Source organism: Homo sapiens, chromosome 9, assembly GCF_000001405.40.
Source record: "Homo sapiens chromosome 9, GRCh38.p14 Primary Assembly".
In the NCBI taxonomy this organism is placed as follows: domain Eukaryota; kingdom Metazoa; phylum Chordata; class Mammalia; order Primates; family Hominidae; genus Homo; species Homo sapiens.
The window spans coordinates 122,172,131-122,187,691 of NC_000009.12; the positions used below are offsets into that span (position 1 = coordinate 122,172,131).

The 15,561-nt window shown below is 47.9% G+C and overlaps 1 protein-coding gene across 2 annotated transcripts in view; it reads left to right on the plus strand.

The window, feature by feature from the left end:
- The window catches only part of MORN5 (MORN repeat containing 5), a 40,176-nt gene that overhangs the window by 12,223 nt on the left and 12,392 nt on the right, over positions 1-15,561 (plus strand). For both annotated transcript variants that reach the window (NM_198469.4, NM_001286828.2), the window contains one exon: positions 2,366-2,497. In NM_198469.4, the coding sequence (NP_940871.2) occupies positions 2,366-2,497 (132 nt within the window). The remainder of the gene's footprint in view (positions 1-2,365; positions 2,498-15,561) is intronic.

The window sequence follows — 15,561 nt, forward strand, 5'->3', positions numbered from 1 at the left end:
TTTTTTTTTTTTTTAAGTTTCTTGTAGAGATGGGTGTTGCCATGTTGCCCAGGCTCATCTAGAACTCCTGGCCTCAAGCAACCTTCCCTCCTTAACTTGGGATTACAGGCGTGAGCCACCATGCCCGGCCGCTTACATCTTTTAAAGTGTGAATCTGATTGCCTCCCTCCCGCCCCGCCCCTTGAGTGCTCCCTATACCCTCAAGATAAGGTTTCAAATTCTCAGAAACAGTGACATTCTCTGGCTCCTGCTCATGTCCCAGCCTCATCCTAGGCTACCCACCCTTCTCGGTTTTTCTCTCTCCCCTCTTGCGATACTTGCTTTCTTTCTGTTTCTCAAAGAGACCACACTTTTTCCTGCCATTCTCTCTGCCTGGAATACTTTAACCCTCTTACTTCACCCAAATAACTCCTTCCCGTACTTCAGTTCTCAGCTCAACGTCCTGAAGCTGGGAGCCCCTTCCCTGAATTCCCACACTAGGTAAGGTCTCCCTGTGGCATATCACAGCAGCCATGACCTCCTCCCAGGGCTTGGATCGTGAGTGTTCAGCTCGTCTTCCCAAGCTGTGAGCAACATGAGGGCAGGGCCCTAGCACATTGTCTGGCATACAGTGGGTACTCGTTAAAGAGTTATTGTCAAACAGGGATAATGATACTGACATCACAGTGCAGGGTGAAGTATGTGCTTAGGGGAGTTAAGGCAATGACATTAAGAAATATTTCCTAAGCTCCTACTGTATGTCAGACGCTGGCTGGACCCAGGGAGACCAGAGTTAAGAGGACATCATCTCTCCCTTCAAAGAGCTGCCAGTCTAGCTGCAGCTTGAGAACCTTGCAAATCACTCCTCCCGAATTAGTTATGATGGGAGGCCTGGACTTTGCCATGGGCTCTTCACCCCAATTAAGGCTGTAGGCAAAAAGCCCTCAGCCTTAAGCCTTAGCTCTCACACAATGGCTGGTTATGCTAAAGCTAAGCCTCTGCCAGTCTCGTGGTGGCATTTCCCGAACCTGCCTGGCTCTCCCCGAACATGCCTGGCTCTCCCCTACTTCTCCTGTGACCCTCAGAAGAGCAGCTTGATTCTAAGTAGCTACTTCCTTCCCTTGTCACTCCACACTTTGCCTCTTGGGGCTGGCATTGTTAGGGCAACTCGCCCTGCCTGCAAGGCAGGGTGAGGGTTAAAAGTGCCCCGCGACCTCTTCGAGCATCTGTGAGATGGGCATTGGCATGAGGCTTTGGTGAGAGAATGGCTGTAAAGTGCTTGACATGGAGTAAGTGCTCAGTAGTCATTAGCCAGTACATATGGGGTTAGGTTTAGGATCAGGGTCAGTGTCAGGGTTACGGTTAGGTATGTCATTAAGCAACACAAGAGTACCTACTGTGTGCAAGACACTGAGTTGTGGGCATGGTGCTGTGTGCTCAGTGGGCATCCAGCTCTCAGTCTAGAGAACAAGGAATTACAGGAACTATAGTTAGAAGGAACCTGAGAAGTTATTTATTCCAACCTCTCCCTTTACTTGAGCCATGGCGTTTCAAGATACACATACCTAGCGTGCATGACCTAAAAGGTGCACTCAATCTTCTTTCTCTCCCAGAGGTCTCAGTGTCCCTGGTCCTGTGGCTGCACCTAGGCTGTCTCCTCCCCTGATGTTGGCAGCTGAACATACAGGTTCCAGAGCTGGACTGCTTCCTAGCTGGATAACCTTGGGAAAGTTACTTTAACTTCTCTGAGCCTCAGTTTTCTTATCTGTAAAATGGAGCCACAGAGCTGCTCTCAGGATTAAATAAAAGAGGAGCACAATGCCTGGCACATAATAAACATTCAATGAGTGGCAGCCACCGTGGTAATTTTGGCAAGAGTCAAAGTTCTCCACCACCTGCCCCTTGTCCACCTGATCCATTTCTTTTCTGCTGTTCTCCTTCATACGTGCTCTGCTCTACAAGGTTTCCAGAGTGGGGCTTAAGGATCCATGCCTCTGGCCTCTGCCCACGCTTTGAATGCCACCCCTCTTCTGGATCTGATGCTCTCCTATCCATTTGCCAACTCTGACTTACCCTCAGGGTCTGTCTAACTTCAGAACCTGTGCCCTTTGTCATGGTATCCGAAGAAATGGAGGAGGATGGGGTCAAAGGAAGAAGAAGACAGAGGGTCTCGTTCCCAAGACCCTGTTCCCAAGAGCCATGTTCAGAAAGTTCCTTTGGGGCACCGTTTCTGCTGGGTTTGCTTCTTGCCCTGAGTAGGGGGTATTTAGTTCAACAGGGGAGCCAGATAGTCACATGAGCCACCAGCCACAAGTGGACCTTATGGGAACACTGGGTTTGGATTTGGCCTTCATGGTGAACTAATTGCCCATTATGTTCTTTCAAGGTATGGCTCAACTCACCAATATGGACCCACCTAGAAAAATCCCCAAGGGCTATTACGATTGTGGAGACGGCTTCTATAACCCAGTCACGAGGGTAGTCAAGGACTATAGGAACCGCTTTCTAAGAAACGCAGGTAGGTTTCTTCCGACACTGCAGCACGTTTTCTCTTCACCCACATATGAGTATGTGCATCTGTATGTACAAATGTATGCACACACTTGATGAGAAAGAAGCTTTTGCTGATAGAAGATGAAAGTTGATTACCTGGATGTTTTATTTTTTGGACTTCTCGTGGCTGGCAAATCTGTACATAGTCCTAGAGTGAGGTAAAAGCACATTCGTGGTCTAGCAGTGACGGCACATAAATGTCGCACTGAAAGGATTAAGGTACTTATTTTTGTATGCATTCCTTCGATTTTAATGGGCACCTACTATATGCTAGACACTGTGCTTGGTGTTGGGGGAAAAGCAGAGCAAAGCTGGACACAGCCCCCCTTCCTTGTGGAGCTTGCATTCTAAAAGTGGCAGAGAAGTACTATAAACAGTTAATTGTATCATGGAACAAACACAATGAAGGGAAAAACATGGTCCTGTGGGAAGGGAAAGTAGGGGCCCCAGAGAGGTGGGACGGATGCTGTGGGAGCACAAATAAGGGGTATCAAATCCCGAAGCGGTTAGTCAGAGAAGGTTTCAAGGAGGAAATGACTTCTAAGCTGAGACCTGAAGAATAACTGGGAGTTGACCACAAGGCCTGGGGAGAGGGTTTCCCAGCGAGAGGAAATGGCACAGGCAACGGCCTAGAGGGGAGTGATCCCTTGAGGTGCAAGAAGGTTGGTTCATCCTTTAGCCAGGGGAGTAGGTACCTTGGAGGATCCAGAACCTCAGTTTGGTGAGTCAACACAAGGCTGATCAGACTGAGAAGAACCCATTTACAGTGACCAAACTCACAGGAGATCAATACACAAATAATAGAACATTTTCCTTTAATGCAGTGATTCCTAAACTTATCCTTTTCTGAAGTCACACTCCCACTAGGAATATCAAAAGATACGGACCCTCTTGCCAGAAAAATGTCCAATGCATGCACACACACACACACGTGCACCCACACGCGCACATGCATACACACACACATTTTGCAGATAGTCTTAAGGGGTGAATGGTCCCTCTAAAGACCTAGGTCAAGAAACCTTGCTCTATAATGAGAAAGAAACTGCCAGGTAGACCAGAACATCTGTGCTGGTGAATGAGAGCATCCTCTCCCTATAGGGAAATTTACTCAGTAAGTCAGTGATGACCAGAAAGGTGCCTCATGGGGCTAGAATAAGAGCAAGGAGAGGCCGGGCGCGGTGGCTCATGCCTGTAATCCCAGCACTTTGGGAGGCCGAGGAGGGCGGATCATGAGGTCAGGAGATCGAGACCATCCTGGTTAACACGGTGAAACCCCGTCTCTACTAAAAATGCAAAAAATTAGCCGGGTGCGGTGGCGGGCGCCTGTAGTCCCACCTACTCAGGAGGCAGGATGAGACAGGAGAATGGCGTGAACCCGGGAGGCGGAGCTTGCAGTGAGCCGAGATCGCGCCACTGCACTCCAGCCTGGGCGACAGAGCAAGACTCCGTCTCAAAAAAAAAAAAAAAAAAAAGAGCAAGGAGAATTGTCAGCTGATCCTATGACTGGAATCCTGGAGCTAAGATGCCCGTAACCCACTGGATGCTACTGGAGGAACATGGCAAATGCTCACACTCCAAGTCCCCCAGCTCACATTTCTTCAATGACTTCCCTTTTCCATTTGCACAATGCACTACTATGTAGCACGCTAACTCTGCTGGGTGCTAATAGGTTTACCATGAAGTTTCTTGGTCAAATAAAATAAGGAGATGTTGCCCTAAACAATGCTAACCAGGCTTATTTACTGCAGAACTCCTCAGGGCCTTTAATATGCTAATAAACTTTGTACTTTTCCTTCATGACACTTATTTCAACATAATTAAATGTAATTATTTGCTTAATATCTGTCTCTCCCACTGGACTGTAGGATCCGTGTGAGAAGGAACTCTGCGTTATCTTGTATCAGTAAGTGTTCAGTTAGAAAAATGGAAAGAGGCAGGACGCCGTGGCTCATGCCTGTAATCCCAGCACTTTGGGATGCCAAGACAGGCAGATCACAAGGTCAGGAGTTCGAGACCGCCTGGCCAACATAGTGAAACCCCATCTCTACTAAAAATACAAAAAATTAGCTGGGCGTGGTGGTGGGTGCCTGTAATCCCAGCTACTCAGGAGGCTGAGGCAGGAGAATCACTTGAACCTGGGAGGCGGAGGTTGTAGTGAGCCAAGATAGCGCCACTCCACTCCAGCCCGGGTGATAGTGTGATTCTCCATCTCAAAAAATAAAAAGAAAAATGGAAAGAATTTAGTATCAGGAAATTGATGGCTACCAGGGAACTAGAAAAGCAAAGGAAGACATTGAGGTAACAGAGAAAGTAACTGCAGGATGCAGGTACCCCCTCAAGGACTGGGGACAATAGTAAGAGATTAGGTTGTGAGAACCTAGAAGGTCAACAGAGGGACCCCCCAGGACCTGCAACCCAGATCCCTGAGCAGAGACCAGCTGGGGCTTGCTCCTGGGAGCTCAGAGCAGGGCTTCTGCAGAGCTGGGACCCAGACCTCTGGCGGGGGAGCACTGCCAGTGGAGCCTCTGAAGAGAGAGATGAAGCTGATTCTAGGAGTGTGGAAAAAACTGGAAACTGGAAGTGAAATGACACTGCTGAGATGACACTGGCATGAACAACAAAGACAACAGAAAGGGGCGTATCTTTGTCTGCCTGACAGCCCCTAACAAGGAGCCGGCTGGCAAAACTAATGTAATTCAGACAGTTCCAGTCCCACCATTGCCAAGTTAAGTATGGAAGTCTCAGTTTGGAGCTGAGAGTCAGTAGCTTCTTTTTTTTCATTTTGAGATGGAGTTTCACTCTTGTTGCCCAGCTGGGAGTAAAATGACGCGATCTTGGCTCCCTGCAACCTCTGCCTCCCAGGTTCAAGTGATTCTTCTGCCTCAGCCTCCCAAGTAGCTGGGATTACAGGCACCTGCCACCATGCCCAGCTAATTTTTGTATTTTTAGTAGAGGCGGGGTTTTGCCATGTTGGCCGGGCTGGTCTTGAACTACTGACCTCAGGTGATCCATCCACCTCGGCCTCCCAAAGTGCTGGAATTACCTGACACTGCACCTAACCAGGTGTCAATAGCTTCTCACTGGCCCAGCCACCCCTTTTGTTGCTCAGCATCCACACACATTCTTCTACAGATATTAAGTCTTCTGTACAACATTAACAAATGTATATTTTTTTGTATAACAAGTTTCAATGCATCCTTCATATTAACACAAGGCCCTCTCCCCTTCTCCCACAGAGGGGAGATAGGAAGCCCCAACAGACACTGCACCCATCTTTTGAGTGAGGTTATTCCTTGGCAGTTCTGCCTGAAGAGTTTATAACCTACAAGCTCCTGCCAATAATCCTTCTATAAAATAACAAGGATAAAAGAGGAAACAAAAGAAAAAATTAGTTAATAAAAACAAATATGCTAGCCAGGCATGGTGGCTTGCGCCTGTAACCTCAGCTACTTGGGAAGCTGAGGCAGAAGGATCTCTTGAGCCCAGGAGTTTGAGGGCAACCTGGGCAACACAGCAAGACCTTATCTCTTAAAACAAAACAGACCGAGTGCAGTTGCTCCCACCTGTAAACCTAGCACTTTAGGAGGCAAAGGCAGGCGGATCACCTGAGGTCAGGATTTCAAGACCAGCCTGGCCAACATGGTGAAACCCCATCTCTACTAAAAATACAAAAATTAGCTGGGCATGGTGGTGCATGCCTGTAATCCCAGCTACTCAGGAGGCTGAGGCAGGAGAATTGCTTGAACCCAGGAGGCAGAGGTTGTGGTGAGCCGAGATCCGCCACTGCACTCCAGCCTGGGTGATACAGCGAGACCCCCTCTCAAAACAAAACAAAACAAAATGTGCATATAGATTAATAAATAGAAAGATAGATGACATAGATACAGATAGACATACACATACAAGCAAGGAGAAAAAACTGTATCACTACTATAGTTCTCTTTCTGTAACTGGTCACAAGGCTGTAGTTAATATTCATAAATTCCTTCTTCCATTATTCATCCCAGGTTCCATTTGCCTTGAGCCCACCCTTCCATTGTTCTGGCTTTTTACCAGTAGGGTGATCAAAACCTTCATTCCTGAAGGGTCCAAACCCTTAGTGGTCCTGCCTTTGTTGGTTATTTAGTTGGTTGGGTTAGTTTTTTATGAACTTTTACTGTGGTCAGTGGAAGTACCAAGAGGTGTCCTGGAGAACTGCTGGGTTCCATAGAGCGTTCCCTTTCTCCTAATGGATGGCAGCATTATCTTCTATATCCAGCCTTCTCTCAGGAGCCAGGAGAAACTGGTGGTAACACAGATCATAACAGCATAGAGTTGCTCCCAGAGAACTCAGTAGGGATTACTTTACCCTGGAGGCCAGTAAGCCAGGGAGGTTTCCTGGAAAAAGAAAGATCTACTCGGTAACCTAAAAAAGAACAGACGAATGCAGCAGGGTTGGTAAGAGTGTTAAAGGCAGAGGGGACAGCATGTGCAAAAGGATTACAGTTGGGAGAAGACATGTCATAAATAGGGAGCTCCAAGTAATTCAGGGGCATGAGCTAACAGTATGAAAGGAGACAAAGGGCAAGAGACGAAGCCCGAGAGATGGGCGGGGTGAGGACAAAGGTTATGGTTGTCTTTCACCCTAAGGCAGTGGGGAGCAAGGGAAGGCTTTAGGCAGGTAACATAGTAACTCATTTGTTCTTTAGAAAGACTTCTTTGATTACATATAGAGAAGAGGCCAAAGGAGATCAGATTAGGTAGGAGATCCTTCTGGTAAGATGATGGGAGAGAGGAGCATGTGAAGGGCATGGGCTCAGGGTGATGGGATAGGTGACCTGGGATCCTGGTCCTGGCCCCAGCTCTCAGGCTGCCTGCTGGATGACCCTGGGCCAATGCCTTCCCTCTCTGGGCCCCTTTCTCTTCATCTTTAAAATGAGAGAGTTGAACTGGATAATTTCTAGGGCCCTTCCAACCTTAAGTAAGAGTCTATGATGGAGGAGAAAGGTAGCCAAGGAGTATTTTGGTCCTGATATTATAGGACAGATGAAGTTTGGAGTGTCCTGAAAACCACTAAAAAGGAGTCTCTGTTTGTGGCCACCTAGTCATTACCCCTGACTCACCTCACCCTGTGAGGGACTGATTCAGGCTTCTGTCCCTCTTCTGTTTTCCCCAGGGACCTCTTTCTGCTGCATTCCAATCTACCCCCACAAACAGTGCTTCCTGTTGGCATCCTGAAGGCGCAGGCTGCTGGGCCTCTGGGCCTCAGATGGGTGACTGAGGCCATCCCAGAGTAAACACAGGGGCCTCAGCCACTGCTATTATGAAGCATATACCACCTGGGTGGGTCAGAGCTGGGAATGCTTATTGTACAGCAGGTCACGGGCTGGGCCACCAGCAGAAGAGTCACCTTTGCTGTGAGAATTTAAATCCATCCTTCTATGTATCAAAATTCTTTGAACATCTACTGTGTGCCAGGCTTTGGGGTTCAGGGCAGGCAACATATTCTCTCTAACTATAGCTCTCAAACCTTCGACCCGCAGTAAGGAATGTTTTACATCATGACCCAGGATACACACAGGTGCACACGTGTGATGTATGTATCTTTGTACATGCAACAATCTATGACATTTTCTTCTTTTTTTTTTTTTTTTTTTTTGAGACGGAGTCTCACTCTGTCACCTAGGCTGGAGTGCAGTGGTATGATCTTGGCTCACTGCAACCTCTGCCTCCCAGGTTCAAGTGATTCTCCTGTGTCAGCCTCCCGAGTAGCTGGGACTACAGGCACACACCACCACACCGAGCTAATTTCTGTATTTTTAGTAGAGATGGGGTTTCACCATGTTAGCTGGGCTGGTCTCGAACTCCTGACCTCAGGTGATCCGCCTGCCTCGGCTTCCCAAAGTGCTGGGATTATAGGCATGAGCCACTGCGCTCGGCCCGATATTTTCTATCCTATTTATTTTTTAAGATGCTGGTTGCTAGGCACTAAATTGATTTCACAACCTTTTCAAAGGTGGGACCAGCTGTTGGTGGACCATTGTTCTAGGCAGCCTTCCCTGACCATCTCTTCTGTCCTCCACTCCACTGCTTTGCCTGGGTTGGGCGTCCCTCCTCTGTGCTTTCCAAGCCTACCTCTTAGCACTTAGCCATGGACAGTAGAAGTATCTTTATTAGCCTATCTCCCCCACAAGTCTGGGAGCAGCTTGAGGGCAGGGACCACGTGACTACGTCTGATTCATCACTGTGTTCCCAGCATCTCACATGAGTCCCATGAGTTGGAGCTGATTAAATGTTTGTAAAAGACAAAGCATGCAGGCAGGCAGAGCACCTGCTCCTAGGTCCCTCGTATTGTTCAACTAATCACACCAAATTCAATACCTGGCACATGATAGACAACTTATGATTTTGAATAATAAAAACAATCCATTATATTTTTATGCACATCCAAGTTTTCAAAGCAGTTTAACATCTGTCAGAGGTCTTAACCCAGTGGCTCTCAGGACAAATCTGGTTGCAGTTTTTGTTTGGTTGGTCCAATTCTTGAAGCTGCTTGGGTTCGAGCACCTAGGTGGGGCCATGCACTGCCCAGATCCCTCCCACTCCCTTCTGTGTGACCCTAGCAGCATCAGTCATTTCTGGTACCCGCCTTAAAGCCTTTGAGCTCCGGGTCCTTCCATCTCAGACTTCTCATGCATCCAGTGAGCTGGGAATGGGCTCATCCTGAGATTGGGAAACTAGGTCTTGGAGCGATGAATGACAGACATGTGATAGTGAAGCTGGAACTCAAACCCACTCCCATCTTACCACAGCCCAGTGGTCTCTCCGCTACCCTCTACTGCTGCTTACATTGGGACCATAAAGCCTTAAATGATAGCAACTGTAGACAGTTATTACATATTCTAATCAATACTGCAAACACAAAACAAAAGAGAGACTGAGTTAGGATCTCTTGCCCCACAGAGGCTGGGGAGCTGAGAGAGGTGAGAGAGATGGCGTGGTGTGGTGGTTAAAAGCCTGGGGCCTGGAATCCATGCCTCAGGCTGGCCTCTAGTCCTAGATCTACCACTGACCAGCTCTGTGATCATGAATAGGTTACTTTTCCCCTTGGAGCCTCAGTCTCCTCATCTGTAAAAGGGGCATTGTGGTAGTACCTATTGGAGAAATTATGGTTAGAAAAAAAGATTAAGTATTCAAAATACATAGGACAGCACCTGGCCCAAGACAGGTGTCCTGTGACTGGTACTTGTGGCTGTTATCATTATGATGATTATTGACTCAGGCTGGAGAGAAAGAAGTGAGTTAGAGCCTGGGATTTGTTAAGCTTTCTCTAGGTGCCTGAGAGGAGTCTCTAGGGAGACAGATGTGCCTGGATATGCTGTCTTTCTGCCTCCTCAATGGTTTTGCTTGGAAAATGAGGTGCTGCTGAAACTTTGGGATCTGCAAATGCTTGATTATGGCATTCAGAGCCCCAGCCTAACTTTGAAGGTCTACCTTCCATCCTGCTGTCTCTTCTGCCCCATGTTCTAGTCAAACAGGACTAGCTGGCATTCATTGATAAACACAACCAGCACTTCCTACTGCCTATTCTCACCTCATGTATTGCCCCAGCACAGAATGCCTTTCCCTCTTTTCTCCGCCCATCTCAGTCCTCCTCATCTGTCAATGCTTAGCACATAACAGAAGGCCATGAAGTCTTTGCCTGCAACCCTCAAACAAGGGCATGTGGCTTTGCCTGTGCATCCACAGCTCAGCTGGGAAAGGAAAGCTTATTGTGGAGGATCCTTGCTAGGCTCTGTGCCAAGCACTTTAACAGCTTACCTTGGCCATGTGCAGTGGCTCACGCCTGTAATCCCAGCACTTCGGGAGGCTGAGGCTGGCAGATCACCTGAGGTCAGGAGTTCAAGACCAGCCTGGTCAACATGGTGAAACCCTGTCTCTACTGAAAATACAAAAATTAGCTGGGCATGGTGGCGCACACCTGTAGTCCCAGCTACTCGGGAGGCTGAGGCAGGAGAATTGCTTGAACCTGGGAGGCAGAGGCTGCAGTGAGCTGAGATCGTGCCACTGCACTCCAGCCTGGATGACAGAGCAAGACTCAGTCTCAAAAACCAACAAAAAAACAGCTTACCTCGCATGGTCTTCCCTGCCACCCCAAGTGGGTAATTTGCATGAGACACAGTTTGCAGTTTGCAATGAAGACACTTGGTCTCAGGTTAAAAACTTGCTCGTGTCACACAACTAGTGATACAGTCAGATTCAAGTCCCAATCTTCCCAAAGCCTGTCCTTTTCATTCTTCTTGCCAGCGTCATGGTTCTGGTTTATTCTGTATTCCTCTATCTCCTCTCTAGATAGGGGCATGTCTGATTTATAGTTGTTCCCCCACCAAGCACAGTTCCTGGCACCCAGTGGGAGCTCAGTAAGGTTCCCAAGTGAATGAAAAGGTCCATCTTAGAGCTTTAAGACAAAAACACCACAGTCCTCACAATCAGATGCTACTTCATTTGAAAAAGGGTCCTTTATACACTGTGAGCTAATAAAGAAGCATTTGGAGCTATTTGGGCAAATGGCCTTTACCATGATGGGAAACTGGTAGACTAACTCTAGCCCTTCCCCCTCCTACACGTCCCTGTCATTCCTCTTAGGAAGGATAAGCTAGAGCCTCGCTGGCAGTTTGTATGAGTATCTCTTTCATGGGGCTGTTGCTTGCCTCAGTGTTACTAGTAGTAATCATCTGCAAAATAACTGTACCACTAATCTTTACTCCCTCCTCCCAATTAATGATACCCCATGCGAGTGTCTCAGATGAAAGACACATTATTAATATTCAAAGAAAAAACCCTCGTAACCATTTTAACATATACAACTAACAATGAACTAAATTTGCTTTGTGGAAGACAGAGAGTGAGCATCCCAAATTAGTTTATGTAAAAGCTGAAATTCTTCCCCGAAAGGTCTCAGTACCATCCTCAAAGAATATCCTGATCATCAGAAATGCCGTCAAGATTCCCGCCAACATTATCCCCTTTGTTGTCTGAAATGTCGAATCAAGCACATCTGGCAAATGTCCTAGAGCTCACAAATCTTTCAAACAGCATATAATTCCCAATGGTTAAAGAGATAACGCCACCGCTTAATCGTGCTGCTCTTCAAAATAGCACCAACTTTCCTTCAGTCAGAAACAATGGCTTTGGCTTCTTAAAAATATCACACACCAGTGATTATTTGCAGAGAGGGCCCTTTTGCATTTGAACCTGTGGGTTCCAGACAGAATTTAAAATCAAAACCACAAGCCTCATTTGAATGCACACTCCATTAAATGGACAATGGGAATAAGGGGTGTGAATTGGGGTCTGAAAAGTAACCTGGCTTATGTGACTCGGCTGCCACCACCAGAATCATGAGGAAGATGGCGATGATGGTGGTGGTGAGAGCTAACCATGACTGAGCTTTTGCCATGCACCAGACCCTCAACCAAGGGGTAGGGAGTACTCATGTGGTCCCTGTTTGACAATGAGGAAACAGGCTCAGTGGGGTTAAGGAATTTCCCCAGGAAATTTGGCAGGAGCCCGAATTCACACTCAGGCTCGCCTGCCTCCCCAGGTTTCCCGCTTTCCATTTCTGGCCAGCTCCAAGATCATCTGTTGAAAAAGGCATGGGTGAAAAGCTCCCAGACATGATGTTTATCTGCTCCCCACCCAGCTTTAGAAAAGGGCGAAATTTAAGCCGCACAGTGAACACCTAGAGAAGAAAGATCACTTTTGTCTTCTAAATTTTCTCTGGTGTTTTTTAGACAGTTGAAAACTGGAAACATCCTCAGTGTCCAATAGGAGAGGACTGATTAAATAACATATAGTTTATTCTTACTACAGAATACAATGCAATCATTAAAAATGGCAGCGAAGAACTAGATCTACTGATATACAAAGGTATCCATATTTTATTTCAGGTGATAAAGCAGGATAATAATAATAGCCAGCATTTGCCAACTGCTTACTGTGTTCCAGGCACTGGTCTAAGCCCTTTACATATATTTTATTTTATTTCATTTTATTTAATCTCCACAGTAACCCTGCAAAGTCATTATCCTTGTTATTCCCACTTTACAGATGATGAAACTGAGGCAATGTGAAATGCCTGCCCAAAGTCAAACTGATAGCAAGTGGCAGAGCTGGAATTGGAAGCCAGGTCCAGCTGACTTCAAAGCTAAAGACAATGTTAGAGCTGACTTTGAATGAGAAGTTGGAGTTTACTAGTGCAAGAAAGAAAGAACCGAGGGCCTGCCTAGCAGCCCTATATTTTATAGAGATATAAAAAGTATACATCCAAAGAGTGTAAGGTTGCAGATGACTATTCCCAAGACAGTTCTCTGCCCACTTTCTTGCTCAAACTTTGGCCAATGAACAAGTCTTTCTTTTTTTTTTCTTTGAGACGGAGTCTCGCTCTTTCACTCAGGCTGGGGTGCAGTGGCACAATCTCGGCTCACTGCAAGCTCTGCCTCCTGGGTTCACGCCATTCTCCTGCCTCAGCCTCCCAAGTAGCTGGGACTACAGGCGCCCACCACCATGTTCAGATAATTTTTTGTATTTTTTTTTGAGACAGAGTCTTGCTCTGTCACCCAGGCTGGAGTGCAGTGGTGCGATCTCGGCTCACTGCAAGCTCCGCCTCCCGGGTTCACGCCATTCTCCTGCCTCAGCCTCCCGAGTAGCTGGGACTACAGGCGCCCACCACCATGCCTGGCTAATTTTTTTTTTTGTATTTTTAGTAGAGTCGGGGTTTCACCATGTAGCCAGGATGGTCTCGATCTCCTGACCTCGTGATCTGCCCTCCTTGGCCTCCCAAAGTGCTGGGATTACAGGCGTGAGCCACTGCAACTGGCCAATTTTTTGTATTTTTAGTAGAGATGGGGTTTCACCGTGTTAGCCAGGATGGTCTCGATCTCCTGACCTCGTGATCCGCCCGCCTCGGCCTCCCAAAGTGCTGGGATTACAGGCATGAGCCACTGCGCCTGGCCAATGAACAAGTGTTTCAGTGCCACTGACAAACCAAGACTCCCCTAATCTTGAAGCCACTGCCTTCCCCTGACAGATGAGAAATCTGAGACCCAGAGAGGGCAAATCACATGTCCAACCCCACACAGACTGTCTGTGGTAGAGCCAGGGCTGGTACCCTGGTTTCCCACTGCTGGCCGGAACTCCTTCTGCAAACCCAGGCTACCTTGCCACAGTGCTTTCCTTGCAGTTTCTGCAAAATGGCCGAGTGAGACTCCCCCACAGCCTCCTCCCGCTGTCATCCCTCCAGCGAGACAAAAGGCAATTTACCGAAATGTTATAATCACCTGGAGGCTGGCACGCGGGGACATCCATGCTTTATCTGCGGTGTTGTTAGCAGCACCGTAATGAAGGCTTTGTGGAGGGATAATACGCTGTAACTGCCAAATCAAATGCCCGCACCAATCACACATCCCTGCCAGCAGACGCGCATTTGCTGTAAGCAAAAGGGGTAGGAAAGAAAGTTATGAGTATTGAACGCCTCCATGGTGCCAGGGACTTACCACATCCCAGTTCTTTGAGGAATAGACCATTATTCGTATTTGGCAGATGCAGAAACTGAGGCTCTGGGAGTAAGTTATTTACTGACAATCAAGCAGCTAGTAAAGGGAGGAACCAGGGTATGAACCCAGGTCCCTCTGACACCAGAGGCCATGCTCTGAACTGATGAAATATGCTGTGGCCTTTTCTGAACCATGAACCTGTCTGAGAATCTAGGCCCAGCTACGGACCTCTCCCCAGAGAAATACACTTGAATTCACAAACAGAATTTTGCCTACAGAGGGCGGGATTGGCCACTTGGAAGCCATCCATACAGCCCTGTCAGGACCTTTGCTCTAGGAATAACAGCCTACCCAGCTTGCCGCCTCTCCCTGGACTGCAGGAATTGCCCATTGCCATCCTCTCTCCCCACCCCAGTTCCAAAGGCCCTGGAAATTCCCCTTCCAGCCATGGTGCCCATCAGATTCTGGTAACAATTCCTCCCCTGCCGCCCCCCGACTCCCCCACGGCAGCCTCCTGGAGGCATTCGAAGGACACAGCTTCCCCTTCAGTAGCTGGAGTCAACCTGGACCAGCACTGTAATGGTTTGTTTTGTCTCCTTTAATAGAAGTGAGTGGAAAGCCAGACCCTATGAGGCCGGAGCCTACTCTCTTTCTCAGCCCAAGCTCTGGAACTCAGCACTGTTGACTGAAACCCCTCAGGTCCAGGAGAGGCGGACAGGGTCACAGGCAGGTATTTAGAGCCAGCCAGATCTGCAAGCAGATCCCAACTCTGCCACTCACCAGCTGTGTGACCTTGAGCTAGGCCCTTAACTTCTCTGAGCTTCAGTTTCTTCACCTGAAAAAATGGGGACAGAAATAGACCCCCCTTCCAGGGCTGGGGCCTGAAGTGAGATGACATGCATGAGGTGAGATGACACACTCCAGCAAGAACAGCGGCTGGCCCTAAAGAAGCACCTTTCGGTGCATGTTGACAATCACAGTCGTGATCCTTTTACACCCAGGGTGAAAAGGTGAAAAGCAGGGGCCTCCTTAACTCCACATCCCAAAGGGAGGAGCCAGTGTTACCATGGCAAACTGAAGTCTGGCCTCCTCCCATCTGCTTTTAATTCTAATTTCAAGACTGGACTAGAGGTCTGTGGTTTTCTGATCTCTCTACCCAGCCCCTGGCATTCTGTTACGGACGTGTCCCCATCATCCTCATCGTTTCTTATGCACCTAGAGCCTTAGGCCCCCTAAGCTCCCCCTAGACACAGGCCTTTGTTGAGTCCCTGCATCCACCAGGGTTTCACTTGGGGATCAGACCCAGGGCCTGGCCCCCACCAAAACCAGTGCAGGGCTAGAGGGAACATATACATAAATAGACAGTCACAGGACTGGGGTGGGTGTTCTCTGGATAGAGGCCTGGGCCCTTTAGGGAGCCTAAATGTTCAAGAGACTGTGAAGAAACTCCCACCCCTCGAAATATAGCTTAGGAATCAAAATAACATAAACC